General features: G+C 37.8%; 1 protein-coding gene across 6 annotated transcripts in view; it reads left to right on the top strand.

Annotated features, from left to right (window-relative positions):
* Positions 1–16,550, top strand: part of XKR3 (XK related 3) — a 41,932-nt gene extending 25,382 nt beyond the window's left edge. For all 6 annotated transcript variants that reach the window (NM_001386956.1, NM_001386957.1, NM_001386955.1 and 3 more), the window contains 2 exons: positions 6–259; positions 15,621–16,550. In NM_001386956.1, the coding sequence (NP_001373885.1) occupies positions 6–259; positions 15,621–16,411 (1,045 nt within the window). In that variant the 3' untranslated portion in view covers positions 16,412–16,550. The remainder of the gene's footprint in view (positions 1–5; positions 260–15,620) is intronic.
* The last annotated feature ends 4,162 nt before the right edge of the window (positions 16,551–20,712 follow it).

Below are 20,712 nucleotides of genomic sequence, written 5' to 3'. Positions count from 1 at the left end.
AACAGGTGTTTGCACACCATTAGAAATTACCACAAATGGTTGAAAAATCTTAAACAGGAGAAGGAAGAGACTCAAGTTAGCATCACAAAGAGAAACACGATGCTGGAAAGGGAGATTGCATTCTCAATCCGGGATAATTTCATGCAGCAGAAGGCTTTCAAGTACATGTCAGTGATTCAGGCTTTTCTCGGTTCTGTTCCACAATTAATTTTGCAGATGTATATCAGTCTCACTATACGAGAATGGCCTTTGAATAGAGGTAAGTTGAGTTACTTGATGCTGAAAGACACACAAAGGTCAATAAAGTGTACTAATATAATAGAAATTGAGAAGTTGAAATATGTAATCCCAAATTACAGTTGCACTAAATTTTTTATAAGATTGAGTTTCTATGAATTTATTTGATTAGCAGATTATAAAAAGATGCTGCTGGAATCCATAGAAATTTAATATAATTAAAAGTTAGCAGCAATTTATTTTATTGACCCTGAAGAGTTAAATTAAGCTTGATATAATATTTAGAGATGAAGCAGAGGAATAAGTTTTTATCTAAAACATATTTTTGTTATAATCTACCTTGTATAAACAGCATTGCTTTTTTTTTTTTTTTTTTTTTGAGACATAGTCTCACTTTGTCGCCCAGGCTGGAGTTCAGTGGCCCGATCTCGGCCCACTGCAAGCTCCGCCTCCCAGGTTCACGCCATTCTTCTGACTCAGCCTCCTGAGTAGCTGGGACTACAGGTGCCCGCCACCATGCCCGACTAATTTTTTCATATTTTTAGTAGAGATCGGGTTTCACTGTGTTAGCCAGGATGGTCTCGATCTCCTGACCTCGTGATCCACCTGCCTTGGCCTCCCAAAGTACTGGGATTACTGGCATGAGCCACCGCGCCCAGCCAAACAGCATTGCTTTTAATAGAAGTCGAAACTGCATGAAAGTGAGAATGTGCCTAAGACTATAAAATTGTATAAAAGTCACCAGGCAAATAGTTCTGTATATTTTATTTTAAATTTTTACCTTAGATACAGGGAGTATATGTACAGTATACGTACAGGCTTGTTACATGGGAATATTGTGAGATACTGAGGTTTGGAGTATGGATCCCATCACCCAGGTAGTAAGCATAGTACACAGTAGGGAGTTTTTCTTAGGCCACGCTGTTCTTCCCTCCACCCAATAGTGGTTGACAATGTTTGTTATTTCCATATTTAAGTTCAGGTGTGCTGAATGTTCAGCTTCTGCTTATGAGTAATAAATCTATTTGGTTTTCTATTCCTGCATTGATTTGCTTAGGATAATGGCCTCCACCTGCATTTATGTTGATGCAAACGACATGATTTATTTATTTTATATGACAGCACAGTATTCCACATACACATACATGGAATACTATGCAACCATACGAAAGAAATTAATCAGTTATTTTCCTTATCCAGTGTACCATTGATGGGCACCTGAGTTGATCCCATGTCTTTGCTATGGTGAATAGTGCAGCAATGAACATATGACTGTATGTGTCTTGGACCTAGAATGATTTATATTCCTTTGGGTACATACCCACTAATGGGATTGCTGGGTTGAAATGGTAGCTCTGTATTAAATTCTTTGAGAAACTTCCAGAGTGCTTTCCACAATGGCTGATCTAACTTATACTTCTATCAGCAGTGTGTAAGCATTCCCCTTTCTCAAAAGCATCCTCACCCAACATGTGTTGGTTTCTGACATTTTAATAGTAGCCATTTTTGCTGGTGTGAGATACTATCTCATTGTGGTTTCGATTTGCATTTCTCTGATGATTACTGATGCTGAAATTGTGGGGGTTTTTGTTGTTGTTGTTTTTTTTTTTTTGAGATGGAGTTTCACTCTTGTTGCCAAGGCTGGAGTGCCCTGGCATGATTTTGACCCACTGCAACCTCCACCTCCCAGATTCAAGTGATTCTCCTGCCTCAGCCTCCCAGGTACCTGTGATTACAGGCATGTGCCAACATGCCCAGCTAATTTTGACATTGTAAAACCTTGTAGAGACAAGGTTTTGCTATATTGGCCAGGCTGGTCTTGAACTCCTGACCTCAGGTTATCCACCCACCTCAGCCTCCCAAAGTGCTGGGATTATAGGGGTGAGCCACTGCACATGGACTTATGCTGAGCAGTTTTTCATATGCTTGTTGGACACTTGTATGTCTTCTTTTGAGAAGTATCTGTTCATTTTCTTTTACCTATTTTTTTTTTTTTTTTTGAGACAGAGTCTCACTCTGTCGCCCAGGCTGGAGTGCAGTGGTGCAATCTCGGCTCACTGCAAGTTCCGCCTCCTGGGTTGACACCATTCTTCTGCCTCACCCTCCCAAGCAGCTGGGACCACAGGTGCCCACCACCATGCCCAGCTAATTTTTTTGTATTTTTAGTAGAGACGGGGTTTCACCATGTTAGCCAGGATGGTCTTGATCTCCTGACCTCGTGATCTGCCCGCCTCAGCCTCCCAAAGTGCTGGGATTACAGGCGCGAGCCACTGCGCCTGGCCACTTTTACCTATTTTTTAACAGAGTTATTTGTTTTGTGCTTGTTGATTTAAGTTCCCTATAGATTCTGGATCTTAAGCCTTTGCTGGATGCATCGTTTGCAAATATCTTCTCCCATTGTGTAGGTTGTCTGTTTGCTCTGTTTACAGTTTCTTTTGCTGTGCGGAAAACCTTTAGTTTAATTAGGTCCCAATTTTCTATTTTTGTGTTTTATGCAAAATTGCATTTGGGGACTTAGCTAAAAATTTTTTGCCACTATCAGTGTTTAAAATAATGCTTCCTAGGTTATTTTCCACAATTTTTATAGTTTGAGGTCTTACATTTAAACATTTCATCCATTTTGAGTTAATTTTTGTATATGGTGAAAGGTAGGAGTTCAGTTTAATTCTTCTACATATGGCTAGCCAGTTATCCTAGATTCATTTATTTAAAAGGGAATCCTTTTCCCATTGCCTGTTTCATTGGCCTTGTCAAAGATCAGATGGTTGTAGGTGTGTGGCTTTATACCTGGGTTCCCTGACCTGTTTTCTTGGTCTCTGTGTCTATTTTTGCCCCAGTGCTAAGCTGTTTTTGCTACTGCAGCTTTTAAGTGTAGTTTGAAGTCAGGTAGTGTAACATCACTGGGTTTGTTATTTTTGCTTATGATTGCTTTGACTAATTGGGCTTCTTGTTGTTGCTGTTCCACATGAAATTTAGAATAGAATTTTTTCTAATTTTGTGAAGAATGACGTTGGCAGTTTGACAGGGATAGCATTAAATAATTTGCGCTTCTGCCCATTCAGTATGATGTTGGCTATGGGTTCATTATAGAAGACTCTTATTATTTCAAGTACATTCTTTTGATGCTTAATGTGTTGAGTTTATCATGAAGAGATGTTTGATTTTATCAATCCCTTTTTCTGTTTTGGTTTTTACTTTTGATTCTGTTTATGTGGTGATCACATTTATTGATTTGGACATGTTGAGCCAGCTTTGCATTCCAGGAAGAAAGCCTACTGTGATTGTGGTGTACTAGCTTTTTGATGCACTGTGAGATCCAGTTTGCTGAGATTTTGTTAAGGATTTTTGCATCTGTGTTCATGAGGGATATTGGCCAGAAGTTTTCTTGTGTCTCTGCCAGGTTTTGGTATCAGGCTGATGCTGGGCTCATAGAATCTGGGCTCATTGAATGAGATGGGAAAAAGGCCCCTCCACCATTTGTTTGAATTATAATAGCGTTGTTATGAATTCTTTGTACATCAGGAAAAATTTGGCTATGAATTCATCTGCTCCAGGGATTTTTTTTTAAAATATTGGTAGGTTCTTTATTACCTAAACAATTTAAGGCATAGATATTGGCCTATTCAGTTTCAATCTCTTCTTGATTTAGTCTTGGGAGATTGTGTGCTTCCAAGAATTTATCTGTTGCCTCTGGATTTTCTAATTTGTGTTCATAGAGTTGTTCATAGTTGTCTCTGAGGATCTTTTGTATTTCTGTGGGATCAGTCATATATAGCCTATATTGTTTTGATTGTGCTTCTTTGGATTTTCTGGTCCCTTTTTTTTTGAGACTGAGTTTTTTTCTGTCACCAAGGCTGCAGTTCAGTGACATGATCTTGCATCACTGACACTTCCACCTCCCAGGTTCAAGCAATTCTCATGCCTCAGCCCCCTGAGTAGCTGGGATTACAGGCATGTACCACCATGCCTGGTTAATTTTTCTATTTTTAGTAGAGACAGGGTTTTACCATGTTGGCCAAGCTGGTCTCAAACTCTTGACCTCAAGTAATCCTCCCATGTCAACCTCTGAAAGTACTGGGATTACAGAGGTGAGTCATCATACGCAGCCTTTTTTTTTTGTCTTTGTTAATTTAGGTAGCACACTATCCATTTATTTATTTATTTTATTTTCAAAGGCCAACTCTTGGTTTGGTTTAAGTGATCTTTTATATTTATTTTGCATCTCAGTTTCATTAACTTCTCTAGCTTTAGTTATTTTCTTCTGCTAGATTTGGTGTTGGTTCCCCCTCCCTCCCAGTTCTTTTAGGTGCAAAGTTAAATTGTTAATTTGAGATTTTTCTAACTTCTTGATGAAGGCATTTTAGGGCTATAAACTTTCCAATTAACTCTGCTTTGACTGCATCCCAAAGATTTGGGAAAGTTTTTCCTATTTTCATTTATTTCAAATAATTATTTTAATTTCTGCCTTAATTTTTATATTCACCTGGGAGTTATTCTGTTGTAAGTTGTTTGATTTCCCTGTATTTTTGTATTTTGAGAGATCTTCTTGGTATTGATTTCTATTTTTATTGCACCGTGGACCAAGAGTGTGTGCTTTGTGTGATTTGTTTCTTTTGAATTTAATGAGGCTTGCCTTAGTAAATTGCTCAGAGTCCATCTTAGGCTATATTCTGTGCAGATGAGAAGAATGACAATTCTTCATTTGTTGGGTGGCATGTTCATTCTGTAGATGTGTGTTAGTTCCATTTGGTCAAGTGTTGAGTTTAAGTCCAGAGTTTCTTTTTTAGTCAAGAACTTGTTCTACAAATCGGTGCTCCATTTTTGTATGTATGTGTATTTAGGACAGTGTTTGATTGTACCCATTATTATTATGTAATGACCTTCATTGTCCTTCTCAATTTTCACTGGTTTCACATCTGTTTTCCTGCTCTCTTTGTTTTCCATTAGCATGATGGATCTTACCCGCTCCTTTACTTTGAGGGTACAGGTGTCATTGGATGTGAGATGAGTGCCTTGAAGACCACAGATGGTTGGGTTTGTCTTTTTATTCAGCCTACCACTGTGTGTCATTCAAGGTTAGTATTGATATGTGATTGTGATCCTGTTATGTTGTTAGCTGGTTGTTAGGTAGACTTCGTTGTGTAGCTGCTTTAAAGTGCATGTGGGCTTGCGCTTAAGTGTGCTTTTGTGAGAGCAGATACCATTCTTTCAAATGCACGTTTGGCATTCCCTTGAGGATGTCTTGAAAGCCTAATCTATTTAAAGTGTATGCCCTTAGCATTTGTTTGTCTGAGAATAATTGTATTTCTTTTTTCCTTATGAATCTTAGTTTGGTGGGATATAAAATTCTTGGATTTTTTTTTTTAATGTTGAAAATAGGCCACCAGTCTCTGGTTTCTGCTAAGAGGTCTGCTGCCATCCTGATGGTGTTCTCTCTATAAGTGACCTGCCACTTCTCTCTAGCTGCATTTATATTTTCGTGTTTGTTTCCTTTCTTTTGTTTGTTTGTTTGTTTCTTTTTGCAGTGACCTTGGTGAATCTGATGACTATGTGCCTTGGGAATGGTCATCTTACATAGCATCTGGCTGGGGTTCTCTATTTTATTTGGATTTGGATGTTGACCTCTCTAGTGTGATGAGGAAGACTTTCATGACTGTCTCCTCAAATTTATTTTTCAAGTTGCTTATTCTTCCTCCTTTTCTCTCTGGAATGCTGGTGAGTCAAGTCACAGATTTGGTTGCTTTACGTAACCCCATATTTCTTGGATGTTTTATTCATTTTGAATTATTTTTGCTTCATTATTGTTTGACCAAGTTGATTTGAAGAACCAGTCTTGGAGCTCTGAAATTCTTTCCTCAGCTTGGTCTATTCCCCTCTTAACACTTCCATTTGTATTATAATGTTCTTATTGTGAAGTTTTCAGCTGAAGAAGTCAAGTTTTGGTCTTTCTTTAAGTGGCTATTTCATCTTTCAGCTCTTGAATTTCTTTGTTGCATTGCTTGGCTTCCTTGGGTTGATTTGAAATTTTAGTAACTTGCAGTAAATGTTGAAAGAGACCCAAAACGACATGCTGACTTTAGATATTCAGAAAATTTGATTCTAAATTCCCAGGCAAGGAGTTTTGCCTCTTTGACAGCCTATTTGATGGTCACCAGGTGGTCTTTGCTCCCATTTAAATTCCTCAGATAAGAAGTTTTGTCTCTGGGTGGTCTGTTTTATGGTCACCAGGTGATTTCTGCTCTCTTCAGTAACATGATTGTAGTGGCAGTTACCTGCATCTACACCTAAATAACATGAAGTAGAACCCCCAACACACACACTGAACCAATGTCAGTTTTCTCTTAACCCGTGTACTGGAATTACGCAAAATTATTTAAAATGCAGCCTTTGGGGGAATATGTAAGTGTACATTGAACATGTCTGCACTGTCTTTGCACCTTTTCATTACCCTATCATGTCAAATTCAAAAAATAGTCACGAGGGCCAGGGGCAGTGGCTCACGCCTGTAATCCCAGCCCTTTGGGAGGCCGAGGCGGACAGATCACCTGAGGTCAGGAGTTAGAGACCAGCCTGGCCAACATGGAGAAACCTTGCCTCTACTAAAAATACAGAATTAACCGGGCGTGGTGGAGCATGCCTGTAATCCCAGCTACTGGGGAGGCTGAGGCAGGAGAATCGCTTGAAACCGGGAGGCAGAGGTTGCGGTGAGCCAAGATGGCCCCATTGCACTCCAGCCTGGGAAACAAGAGCAAAACTCTGCCTCAAAAAATAAATAAAATAAAATAAAAAATAAAAAATAGTCAGCAGGAATGTAGACATTTAGATATATGCCATTCAAGTATACGTGAATAGGAAGATAACTAGTTGAACCAGACGCATGTTGATTATCTGCAAAGGTAAAATAAAATCAAAACATTTTTATTTGGCGTTTAAGAGGGAAGTGCTGGTTGCAACATGTAAAAGGAAGGTAATCATTTTTTATTTTCGGAGTTGATAAATATAGACTTGAACAAAACATCACTAAAAGACATGAAATATACAGTATTTTATTACAAAGATGTCATTTGACATCAGATGTCATTTGAAATTCTTTCGTAACAAGGGAAGTTTTTAGCATATATGTGAACAACAAACTAAGACTAAGAAGTTGTTTGCCAAATCAATAGATATTTGACAAGTGGGCATTCAAACCAAATGAGAAGCAGTTAGGTACACGTTTACATGTGTCCAAAATTATTGAATTATATGAGACCTTCAGCAGTAAAACAAATGATGGCTGAATAAACCTATAACTATACAACCACAACCATATCCCATGGGATAGGATCTATAGTTGGAAATTTTTTTACAAATAAGTTCTACTAGCTTCATGGCATTAGATGCAGTTTTCATTGTACGCACAGATCTGTAGACTGCGTGTATTTGTGTGTTCACTTTTCCTATTACCACTAATTTTTTTAACAAGGTTCATAATTATTTGCTTTCTATTAACTGACAAAATGTAGACGGACACCTATTTATAAACATATGAAAATTGTGTCAGTGTAGGCCGGGCATGGTGGCTCACACCTGTAATCCTAGCATTTTAGGAGGCCAAGGTGGGTGGATCACATGAGGTTAGGGTTTCAAGACTAGCTTGGCCAACATGGTGAAGTCCTGTCTGTCTCTACTAAAAATACAATAATTAGCTGGACATGGTAGCGGGTACCTGTAATCTCAACTATTCGGTAGGCTGAGGCAAGAGAATGGCTTGAACCCAGCAGACGGAGGATGCAATGAGCCGAGATAGTGCCATTGCACTCCAGCCTGGGGAACAAGAGCAAACCTCCATCCCCTCCAACAACAACAACAAAAGCAAAAAACAAACAAAAAAAAAAAACAAAAAGAAAATGGTACCAGTGGTCAGTGTAATACAATTTTATGGTGTGGCTGTTTTTCCCCTTTAGTCTCAGAGTCAGTCTCTCTCTCTCTCTCTCTCTTTCTCTCTCTCTCTCTCTCTCTCTCTCTCTCTCTCCCTCTCTCTCCCTCTCTCCCTCTCTCTCCCTCTCTCTCCCTCTTTCTCCCTCTCTCCCTCTCTCTCTCCCCCCTGCCTCCTTTCTTTCTCTATTTTTTTTTTACATCGACAGGTTACATTGTATGTTTTTATTGTGTACAAGATGATGTTTGAAGTATATATATAACATGGAATAGTTAAATCCAGAGAATTAACAAATGCATTTTCTCACGTAGTTATCTGTTTTTTTTTTTATTTTGGTAAGAGCAATTAATATCCATTCTGTGTACATATTTCAACAATATACCTTCACTAACTGTAGTGACCCTGCTATACAATAGATCTCTTTAAATTTATTACTCCTATCTGACTGTAATTATAAATCTTTTGATAAAATTCTCCTCATTCTTTCTTTTCCTATAACCACTCTAGTCTCTGGTAACCATTGTTTCACTCTCTATATCCACAGAGTCTTTTTTTTTTTAAGTTTTCTCATAAAAGTGAGACCATTTTTTTTCACTCAACGTAATGTCTTCCAGGTTCATCCCTGTTGCTGCAGATGAGAATTTCATTCTTTTTTATAGCTGAATACTCTTCCATTGTGTATATGTACCACATTTTCTTTATGTATTCATTCACTGATGGACACTTGAGGTGATTCTATATCTTGGCTACTGTGAATAATGCTGAAATAAACATGAGAGTGTATATATCTCTTCAACATACTGGATTCAATTCCTTTTGATACATTCTCAAAAGTGGAATTTCTGGATAATGCATTAGTACTAATTTCTAATTTTTGAGGAAGCTCCAAACTGTTCATGGAGTAAAATGGGTTTAGTGATTTGCATTATCACCCATAATGTGCAAGAGTTTTCGTTCCTCCATATTCTTTTTTTTTTTTCAACGTTTCTTTTTTCTTTTTATTCTTTAAATAATGGCTGTTCCAACCAGGATGAGGTGAAGTCTCATACAGGTTTTGATTTACATGTCTTCTTTTGAAAAATGCCTTTTGAGAAAGGCCTATTAAGAGACCTATTTTCTTTACGGAGAATTGTTTATTTTTTTCTTTCTAATTTTTAAAATTTAACTTCTATTTTAGTTTTAGGGCTACATATGCAGGTTTGTTATATAAGTAAACTTGTATGATAGGGGTTTGTTGTACAAATTATTTCATCACCCAGGTATTAAGCCTAGTGTCCATTAGTTGTTTTCACTGATGTTCTCCTTCCTCCCACTCTGTAGCCTCTAATGGGCCACAGTGCGTGTTGTTTCCCTCTATTTGTCCATGTGTAATCATAATTTAGTTCCCAGTTATAAGTGAGAACACGTGGTATTTGTTTGTTTTGCTTTTGAATATTTTTAAGTTCCTTGTATATTTTAATTAACCCCTTGTCTGATGTATAATTTGCAAATATTTGCTCTCATTCTATCACTCTGATTTTTTTTTTTTTTTTCTGCGTGGAAGCTTTCTAGTAGGATGAAACCTCATTTGTCTGTTGGTGGTTTTGTTGCTTGTGGTTTTGAGGTCTTATCCAAAAAAAAAAAAAAAATCCTTGCCCAGACCAAGGTCATTAAGTTTGCCCTGTGTTTTATTAGGTTTGACAGTTTAGGGTTTTCATTACATATTTATTTTTAAACGTTTTTAAAAATGTATTTTTACAGATGAGGTCTCACTGTATTGCCTAGGGTTAGTGCAGTGGCATGAGTGTGGCATGCTACAGCCTTGCACTCCTAGGTTCAGGTGATCCTCCTGACTCAGACCCCAGAGTAGCTGGAACTATAGGTACACGCCACTGCACTATAGGCTTTTTAGTGTATTTGAGTTATTTTTTGTATGTAGTAAGAGATAGGGTTCTGATTTTGTTTTTCTGCATGTAGCTCTCTTGTTTTCCCAGCACCACTTATTGAAGAGACTGACTTTCCTCATTTTGTGTTCTTGGCATCTCTGTAGAATATCAGTTGGCTATCCGTGTGTGGATTTATTTGTGCTCACTATACTCAGTTGCATTGGTTTATAGCATTGTGATGCCTCCAGCTTTATGGGTTCACTCCCCAAACCTATGGCCATCTTCAGGATTGCTTTGGCTATTCAGGTTTTTTTTCTGCGGTTTCATATTAATTTTGAATTTCTTTCTATTTCTGTGAAAAATGCCATTGGTGTTTTGATAGAGATTGCATTGAATCTGTGGACCTATTTGGGTCCTATAAACATTTTAACCACATTACTTTTTTCCAATCAATTAGCATAGATATCTTTCCATTGATTTATGTTATTTTAATTTTTTATTAATACTTCATAATTTTCAGAATGCAGATTATTTTCTACCTCCTTGGTAAAATTTACTCTAAAGGTTTTTTGTTCATTCATTTGTTTTCCCATAGCTATTGTAAATGGGATTATTTTCTTGAGGTTTTTTTTGTAGACATTTTCGTATTAGTATATGAAAATGCTACTTAATTTATATGTTGATTTTGTAAACTGAAACTTGACTGATTTTCTGAAATAGTTCTAACTGCTTTTTAGTGGTGTGTTTAGGGATTTCCATATAATATCATTAGGAAATATGGAAAATTTTACTTCTTTCTTTCCAATTTGGGTACCTTTTCTTTCTCTTGTCCAGTTGCTCTGGCTAAAGACTTTCAGGATTATGTTAATATAAGCAGTTAAAGTGAACTTCTTAGTCTCCTTTCAGATCTTCAGAGAGAAGCTTTCAACTTTGAACTCCCACTGAGTGTGATGTTAGCTATGGGTTTGTCATGTAGAGCATTATTTGGTTATTCTCGTTTATGTCATTTGTTGTGTTGAGTTACAATTGTTCTATGCATAATTTGTTGAGAGATTTTATTATAAAAAGATGTTGAATTTTGTCAAATGGCTTTTTTATTTATTGAAATGACCACCTAGATTTTGTTATTTATTTTGTTGATGTAATGTATGACACTTAATGATTCTTGTGTATTAAACCATTCCTGTATTCCTGTAATCTCACTTGATCATGGAAAATCATGAATGATTTTCTAAATGTGCATTATAACTCAGTTTCCCAGTATTCTGTTGAGGATTTTTACATTATGTTAATCAGGTATATTAGCCTGTAGTTTTCTCTTCTTTGTTGTATCCTTGTCTGGTTTTGTATTGAGCATATTGCTGGCCCCACAGAATGAACTGGAACAGTTCACATATCTTCTTTTTTTTATTTTTTTCCACTAGGTTAAAAAGAATTGATAGTAGTTATTTTTTAGTGGTAGGTAGAATGCAGCAGTTAATCTATCAGGTCCTGGGCTTTTCTTTAATGGGTAACTTTTTATTGCTGATTTGATTTCTTACCATTAATTTGTTTCTGGGTGTCAGTTATGACATCTCCTTTTTTGTCTCTGATTATATTTATTAGTGACTTTTTTTACTTTTGATTTTAGCTTTTTGTTTTTCTAATTCTTTGGTTTGGTGTATTTCGTATCTTCTTTTTGATGAAGACATTTATTGCCATAACTTTCCCTTTAAAACTGCTTTGGTCATATCCAGTAGGTTTTGATGTGTTCTGTTTCTATTTTTGTCTCAAGAAATATGGTATTTTCTGTGTAATGTCTTCATTGACTCACTGGTTGTTCAGGAGTATGTAATTTAATTTTCATGTACTTATGAATTAGTGATATTAGAAGAGATACCCTGTATGACTTTGATCTCTTCGAATTCATCAAGATGTGTTTTTTGGCCTAATGTATGATATATCCAGGAAAATGTTCCATGTATGCAGTAAAGAATGTGTATTCTATAACTCTTGGATGGATAGTTCTGTAACTGTTTTGTCCATTTGCCCTACAGTGCATTTTAATCTGATGTTTACTTACTGATTTTCTGTCTGCATGATCTATTCATTTCTGAAAGTAAGGTGCTGAAGTTTTCTATTAGTACCTTGTAGTTTTTTTCTCCCTTTGCATCTATTAATATTTACATTATATATATGCATATAAATATATATGTATATTCCTGATATGATATTTTCTTTTTTATCCTGCTTAATTCTGTATGCTGTCTTTGTCTTTGATATTTGTTGGTTTGATTATATTAAGCCATGGCGATATTATTTGGATTTAATCTTATTGGAAGACTTCAATATTCCTTTACCTGAATATTTATATTTTTATTTAGATTTGGAAAATTTTTTGTTGTTATTTCTCTAAATAGACTTTTTACTTTTTTTTCCTACAATACGCTTATTTTTTTTTTTTTTAATTTGAGACGGAGTTTTGCTCTTGTTGCCTAGGCTGGAGTGCAATGGCGTGATCTTGGCTCAATGCAACCTCCGTGTCCTGGGTTCCGTGATTATCCTGCCTCAGCCTCTTGAGTGGCTGGGATTACAGGCGTCCACCAACCACACCTGACTAATTTTTGTATTTTTAGTAGAGACACAGTTTCACCATGTTGGGCACTCTGCTCTGAAACTCCTGACCACATGTGATCCACCCGCCTCCGCCTCCCAAATAGCTGCGATTACAGGTGTGAGCCATTGCACCCAGCTTTTCCTTGAACACCAGTGACTAATACATTTGTTCTTTGGATGTTATCACATAAATCCTATGAACTTTCTAGATTTCTTTTTTTTTTCTTCTGACTGTATATTTTTAATTGATCTGTCCTTGAGTTTTTCTGCTTGGCCACTTCTGTCAATACTCTCAACTGTATTTTTTTTATTTTATTGTGTTTTTATCTTCAACTTTTTTATTAGTTTTTTCCTCCCATTATTTCAATCTCCTTGCTAAGGTTCTCTGATAAATTTCTGAATTGTTTGTGTTTTCCTTAAGTCCACTACATTGTCTTAAAATAAGTATTTGAATTTTTTGTCAGGCTATGTGTCCATGCCCATCTCTTTCGGGTCACTCACAACTGGCACCTTATTTTGTCCACTTGGTGCCATGATGTTCTCGTCATTGATCCTGATCTTTGTGACTATGCATTGTTATCTGCACAATGATATAGGTGCCTGATTCAGTGTTCATGTCTGGGCTCTGTTTGGAAGCTTCTTTCTACAGTAAGCCTGTCCAGAGATTCAGGGCAAGAAGAAGAAGGAAATTAAGGTCTTTAAGTCTATGATAGCTTCAGCCCTGGTAGAAGTAGGGGGAATCCTAATGCCTAGACTTTGATGGCTGAAGTAATTTGACCACCAAAGCTGACTCAGTGCCAGGTTGCACCTGTAGCCCACAGTAGAGCACTGGATGCACTCAAGGCATGCAGCTGCCATGGTCTTCCCTCTGAGGTTTATTCAGTCAACCAGTAGGAATGTTGACTGGAACTCGACTCCATCCTGCTGAGCCCACAGTTTCTCATCTGTTGTCGGGATGTGTCTAGAAGTTTGCCCCTTGATATCATCCTCCCAAAGTGCTGGGGTGAAGGCACAGAAAAATAAAGACCCAAGTGAAAGTCCTATGTTTTCTTCCTGGGCTCAAGCAATCCTCCCACTGCAGCCTCCTGAATAGCTGGGACTACAGGCATGTGCCACCATGCCTGGCTAAATTTGTGTATTTGTGTGTGTGTGTGTGTGCACGCGTTTTGTAGATACAGGTTTTCACCATGTTGCCCAGGTTGATCTTGAACTCCTGGGCTCTAGTGATCCATTCACCTCAGCCTCCTAAAGGTAGGATTACAGGTATGAGTCACCATACCTGGCCAAATTTTACTTTCGAACATTTAATTTTTAGGTCATTTATTATATTCAGTCTCATTTCTCATAAATGCAGTTACAATGCTAATGTTTTAGAGTTTCACTTTGAGTATTCCTTAAGGAATAAATGGAGTGTTAATATTCATTTTCTAAATGGTGTTAGAAAGTGAATAATAAATTTAGACGAGGAATGACTATTTTGCTATTTGGCCTTTTTTTGTTTTCTGGCTTAAGTTCATTGTGTATGAAGAGTGTTTTTTGTTAGTGTTTATTTGTTTGTTTGTTTTTTGAGATGGAGTCTCGCTCTGTCGCCCAGGCTGGAGTCCAGTGGCGCTATCCTGGTTCACTGCAACCTCTGCCTCCTGGGTTCAAGTAATTGCCCTGCCTCAGCCTCTCGAGTATCTGGGTCTATGCCCGGCTAATTTTTTGTATTTTCAGTAGAGATGGGGTTTCACTGTGTCACCCAGAATGGTCTTGATCTCCTGACCTCTTGATACACCCACCTCAGCATCCCAAAGTGCTGGGATTACAGGTGTGAGCCACTATGCCCAGCTGAAGAGTGTATTTTTTTTTAACCTGCATGTATATGTAAAATGAATTTTTTCTCTTTCAACTGAATGTAGTACAAAAGTGCTTAAACCAATTATTCAACTACTTCATAATTTTGGTTTTCTTCCATGTGCTTATTTGTCTAATTGTTGAGAGAACAATGTTGAAATTAAAATAATTTTGCTTATGAAAAAGTTTCTCATAAAGTTGCATGGATACATACAATCACACACATGCACACACACACTTCTTTTTTTTTGTTTGTTTTTTTGAGATGGAGTCTCGCTCTGTCGCCCAGGCTGGAGTGCAGTGGCACGATCTCAGCTCACTGCAAGCTCCGCCTCCCGGGTTCATGCCGTTCTCCTTCCTCAGCCTCCCGAGTAGCTGGGACTACAAGCTCCCACCACTACGCCCGGCTAATTTTTTGTATTTTTAGTAGAGACTGGGTTTCACCGTGTTAGCCAGGATGGTCTCAATCTCCTGACCTCGTGATCCGCCCGCCTCGGCCTCCTAAAGTGCTGGGATTACAGGCGTGAGCCACCGCGCCCGGCCACACATACTTCTTAATTTCTGTAGCTTTTTATTTTTTTCTGCTTCTCTAGTACCTTGTATTCCATCACTCAGCAGAATCTGTCAGCTCCACTTCCAGGATTTACTTTAACTCCACAGCTTATTTCTTCTTTTCTGTTACCACCATAGTCTAAAACACAGTCTATATTACATTAGTCTCCTATTTCACATGCTAACTTCCTAGTTAACACTCTTAACTTTCTATAAAGAATGGAACTGTCTTTTCAGTGTCTAATTCAGGTATTTTTTTTTAATTGAGACTGCTTTATATGTGCTGTCACACCTTATAGCATCAGATCTGAATGTGTCTCTTCCATTTTATCTGTGCCAGTCTTCTCTTTGAGGGAATGTGTATATACATGTATAAATGTAGATATGTATGTATTTGCTTATTATTTGTTTTTCCAAGGTGTAATATATGTTTTGCATGCCTATACTTACTGTATCCCTGAAAATGGAAGATTAACAAACCTTTCTTTTTATAAGTAAATGATTTTCTAAAGGAGGTGGGTGAGGAAGAATATATCTTAAAATGGCAAGTTTAAAAAAGAAAGTGGTCATTACTAATGAAAAATATTCTCTAACATTTTCATGTTTGTCTTTAATAGCATTGCTGATGACATTTTCCCTGTTATCAGTTACTTATGGGGCCATTCGCTGCAATATACTGGCCATCCAGATCAGCAATGATGATACTACCATTAAGCTACCGCCGATAGAATTCTTCTGTGTCGTGATGTGGCGTTTTTTGGAGGTTATCTCACGTGTAGTGACTCTGGCATTTTTCATTGCATCTCTGAAACTGAAGAGCCTACCCGTTTTGTTAATCATATATTTTGTATCATTGTTGGCACCGTGGCTGGAGTTTTGGAAAAGTGGAGCTCATCTTCCTGGCAACAAAGAAAATAATTCCAATATGGTGGGTACAGTACTGATGCTTTTCTTGATCACACTGCTATATGCTGCCATCAACTTCTCCTGCTGGTCAGCAGTGAAACTGCAGTTGTCAGATGACAAAATAATTGACGGGAGACAGAGGTGGGGCCATAGAATCCTACACTACAGCTTTCAGTTTTTAGAAAATGTGATAATGATATTGGTATTTAGGTTCTTTGGAGGGAAAACTTTGCTGAATTGTTGTGACTCATTAATTGCCGTGCAGCTCATCATAAGCTACCTATTGGCCACTGGCTTTATGCTCCTCTTCTATCAGTATTTGTACCCATGGCAGTCAGGCAAAGTGTTGCCAGGACGTACTGAAAATCAGCCAGAAGCACCGTACTATTATGTAAACATCGAGAAAACTGAAAAGAATAAAAATAAGCAGCTGAGGAATTACTGTCACTCCTGCAATAGGGTTGGATATTTTTCAATCAGAAAAAGTATGACATGTTCATAAAATATACATATATACTTTCACAGAACAATGAGTAAAGATGCTGAATGTGACTTGTTAAGAGGCTCTTAAATTTAAAAAATATACACAGCAAAATCTTGGAAGTGGTTTCTAATAAAATTCATTTATGTTCTCCTGTGAACGTGCCTTAGTAATTTTTGTTTTCTTAACTATAATTATACAATTCATTAAATAAAACAAAATAAAAAATCCATCTGGATCCAAAAACTGAGCAGGAAAAATAACCGTAATGCATTTTTCACCTAGTACGTTTTTGGAATGCCTTTAACAAGTTTTTGTAGCGTATACATTATCAGTGAACATGTTTTCTTCAGAAAGAGTATTTACCACAGGTTTTATTCTGTACTTAAGGAGAATCTGAAAGGCAAGTCTTATGAGACTGCTCCTATTTATCTTAATTTAGGGTAACTAAGGCATTTCTCATTGAACTTTGACTAACAGAAAGCAACTCATATTAATGCATCTCAAGGCACAAAAACTTTTCAATTAAAAATAAATAATCATGTTAATAATTTGAAATACGAATTTACATTCCTACCAACAGTGCACAAGGATTCTCTTTGCTCTACATTCTCAATAACACTTGTCATCTTTCATCTTCATGATAATAGCTGTTCTAACATTTTGAGAGAAGGTGCATTGTTGGTTTTAATTACCATTTCCCTGATGATTGGTGGTGAAGCATCATTAAATATACAGTTGTTCAAAAATTGGCCAGGCACAGTAGCACACACCTGTAATTCCAGCTACTAGGGAGGCTGAGGCAGGAGAATTGCTTGAACCTAGGTGATGGAGGTTTCAGTGAGCCAAGATCGCACCACTGCACTCCAGCCTGGGTGACAAAGTGAGACTCTGTCTCCAAAAAAATAAATAAATAAATAAATAAATAAATAAATAAATAAATAAATAAGGCCGGGCTTGATGGCTCACGCCTGTAATCCCAGCACTTTGGAAGGCCAAGATGGGCAGGTCATGAGGTCAGGAGATGGAGACCATCCTCACTAACATGAAGAAACCCCGTCTCTACTAAAAATACAATAAAAATTAGCTGGGCGTGTTGGCATGCATCTATAGTCCCAGCTACTCAGGAGGCTGAGGCAGGAGAATCGCTGGAACCTGGGAGGCACAGGTTGTGGGGAGGTGAGATCGCGCCACTGCACTCCAGCGTGGGTGACAGAGTGAGGCTCCATCTCAAAATAAATAAATAAAATAAATGAATAAATAAAATTAAACATAGTTAAACATAGACTTGACCATTTTTGTCTTTTTTTGAGAAATGTAAATTCAGGTCCTTTGCCCATTTTTAATAGGCTTACTTGATTTGTTGTTGTTAAGTGGTGTGAGTTTCTTGTATGTATTTATTATTCACCATTTATCATATATATGATTTGCAGACATTTTCTCCCAGTGTAGGGGTTGTCCCTTCACCCTCTCTGCTAATTGTTTCCTTTGCTGTGCAGAAACTTTCTAGTTTGATGTGATGCAATCCAATTGCTGTTTTTCTTGTGCTTTTGTAGCCTGTGCTTCTGGGGTGATAGAACTGAGGTTTCAAAAATTAAATTAAAAATAGAATTACAACATGGTCCAGCTACTCTACTTCTGAATATGTACTCAAATGATATAAATTCGTATTTCAGAGAGATATTTGCATACCTATATTCATGTCAGCATTATTCACAATAGCCAAGATAAGGAAACAACCCAAGTGCTCATCAACAGATCAGCAGATAAAGCGTGGCACATATACACAATGGAATATACTATACAGCCTTAAAAAAAGAGAAAGTGCTGTTATTTATTTATGATAAAATGAATGGAATTGGAAAACATGCTCAGTGAAATAAGACAGGCACAGAAAAACAAATATAGCATGGTCACAATTACATGTAAAATCTAAAAACGTTGAACTCATAAAAATAGTGAATATGCTAAGTGTGGTGACTCATGTCTGTTATCTCCAGCACTTTGGGAGGATGAGGCGGTTGGATCACTTGAGTTCAGGTGTTTGAGGCCACAGTGAGCCATAGTTGTGCCGCTTCACTCCAGCCTGGGCAACACAGCAAGATCGTGACTCTTTATACAAATACACAGAAAGTAGTCAGAGATTGGAGTGTGGGGTAGTGATAGGAATACATACGGAAGGGATGACATTTGTCAAAGGGTAAAAAATTTCTGTGAGGCCGGAAGTAGTTCTGGTGATCTGTTGCACAGAATGGTGATCACAGTTAAAAAATGTACACTTCAAAATTGCTGAAAAAGGCAGGCATGGTGCCTCATGCCTGTAATCCCAGGACTTTGGGCGGCCATGGCAGGCAGATCACTAGAGGTCAGGGGTTCAAGACCAGCCTGGCCAGCATGGTGAAACACCGTCTCTACGGAAAATACAAGAACTAGCCAGGTTTGGTGGCACACACCTATAGTCACAGCTACTCAGGAAGCTGAGGCAGAAGAATCACTTGAACCCGGACAGTGGAGGTTGCAGTGAGCCAAGCTTGTGCCACTGCACTCCAGCCTGGGCGACAAAAGCGAAACTCCATCTGAAAAAAAAAGTTGGAAAAGTAGAGTTTAAATATTCTCACCACAACGAAATGATAAGTGTGTGAGGTGATGTATATGTTAACTAGCCCAACTTATTTTGCATTGTATACATGTATTATAAAATCACTTTGTGTCCCATAAATCTTTACAATTGTTAATTTAAAATAAAATTTCTGAAAGAATGAATTAAAATTAAACTTGGCTTGATATACGTAGACAGTAATATATGCCTATGTGTCCTTCTATTTTGACTATTTTGCTTCTGTTATTTCTTGGGGAAACAATCACCATGATAAATGAAGAACACTAAAGCTTAATATTGTATAATTCTCATTATTTTGTTGTTTTTGTTTTTCCTCCTACTTTTTTCTACCAAAGCAATGTGGACAATTTTCTTATTCATACTTTCTTTTATGTTTTTTTTTCTGATGAGAAATCACCACCAAAAATTAAGCTCATGTGGATTTGTGTAATTTTTCCTGCTCCTATCTATGACCATCTTTACCTTTACTTTAGATTTTACAGCTTCGTAAAACACTTATTTACTTATTTATTATCTCCCTGTATCATTATTTTTTCTTTTCTTTTCTTTTCTTTTTTTTTTTTTTTGAGAAGGAGTTTCACTCTTGATGTCCAGGCTATAATGCAATGGTGTGATCTAGGCTCACCGCAACCTCTGCCTCCCAGCTTCCCCGGTTCAAGCCATTCTCCTGCCTCAGCCTCCTGAGTAGCTGGGATTGCAGGCATGCGCCACCACGCTCGGCTGATTTTTTGTATTTTTGGTAGAGACAAGGCTTCACTGTATTAGCAAGGATGGTCTTCATCCTTGTGATCCACCCGCCTCAGCCTCCCAAAGGGCTGGGATTACAAGCATGAGCCACTGTGACCAGCCAACTATTCGTTATTAAATGAAAGAGAGAATGGCTCTCATAATAATGATGGACGCAGCCTTGTATGAAATCTTACTAAACAGGCTGAACGCCGCCTAAACATTAAAAAGCAAGGTAAATTTAAGCAAGTTTATATTTTATGCTGTCATTACATTTAATTGGGTTAAAAGTTAAGGGGTATTAGGCAGAGAAAAAAACCTCAGACTTGACTCTTGGAGCTCTGGAGTCTAATAACATAACTCACGGGAGTGGTTAAAGAAGACCTTACCCCTGAGTTTAGGCAAGACAGTGTGTGTCTTTTTTTTTCTTCGTCGTCTTCTTTCTTTTTTTCTGAGACAGACTCTCCCTCTGTCACCCAGGCTGGAGTGTAGTGGTGCAATCTCGGCTTACTACAACCTCTGCCTCCTGGGTTCAAGCGATTCTCCTGCCTCAGCCTCCCGAATAGCTGGACTACAGGTGCGTGCCACAATGCCTGGCTAATTTTTTGTATTTTTAGTAGAGACAGGGTTTCACCGTGTTAGCCAGGATAGTCTCAGCCTCCTTACCTGGTGATACACCTGCCTCGGCCTCCCAAAGTGCTGGGATGACAGGCGTGAGCCATTATGCCCAGCCAGTATGTGGTATTTTAACTGTCCATTATCACCCACTCCATGACTTCATGGCAACAGTGAAGAAGACGAAGTTCTAGGTGCAGCTTTTGATGCATGTGGGAAAAATATGGAGCTTATCTCAAAGAATTGTGGTTGTCATGGCGAAACCCTGTCTCTACTAAAACTACAATAATTAGCTGGGCCTGGCAGCAGAAGCCTGTAGTCCCAGCTACTGGGGAGGCTGAGGCAGGAGAATCACTTGAAC

The sequence above is a fragment of the Homo sapiens genome, chromosome 22 (assembly GCF_000001405.40).
Source record: "Homo sapiens chromosome 22, GRCh38.p14 Primary Assembly".
In the NCBI taxonomy this organism is placed as follows: Eukaryota; Metazoa; Chordata; class Mammalia; order Primates; family Hominidae; genus Homo; species Homo sapiens.
The sequence above is the reverse complement of the archived record's forward strand: the minus strand, read 5'-3'. Positions and strand labels throughout refer to the sequence as shown.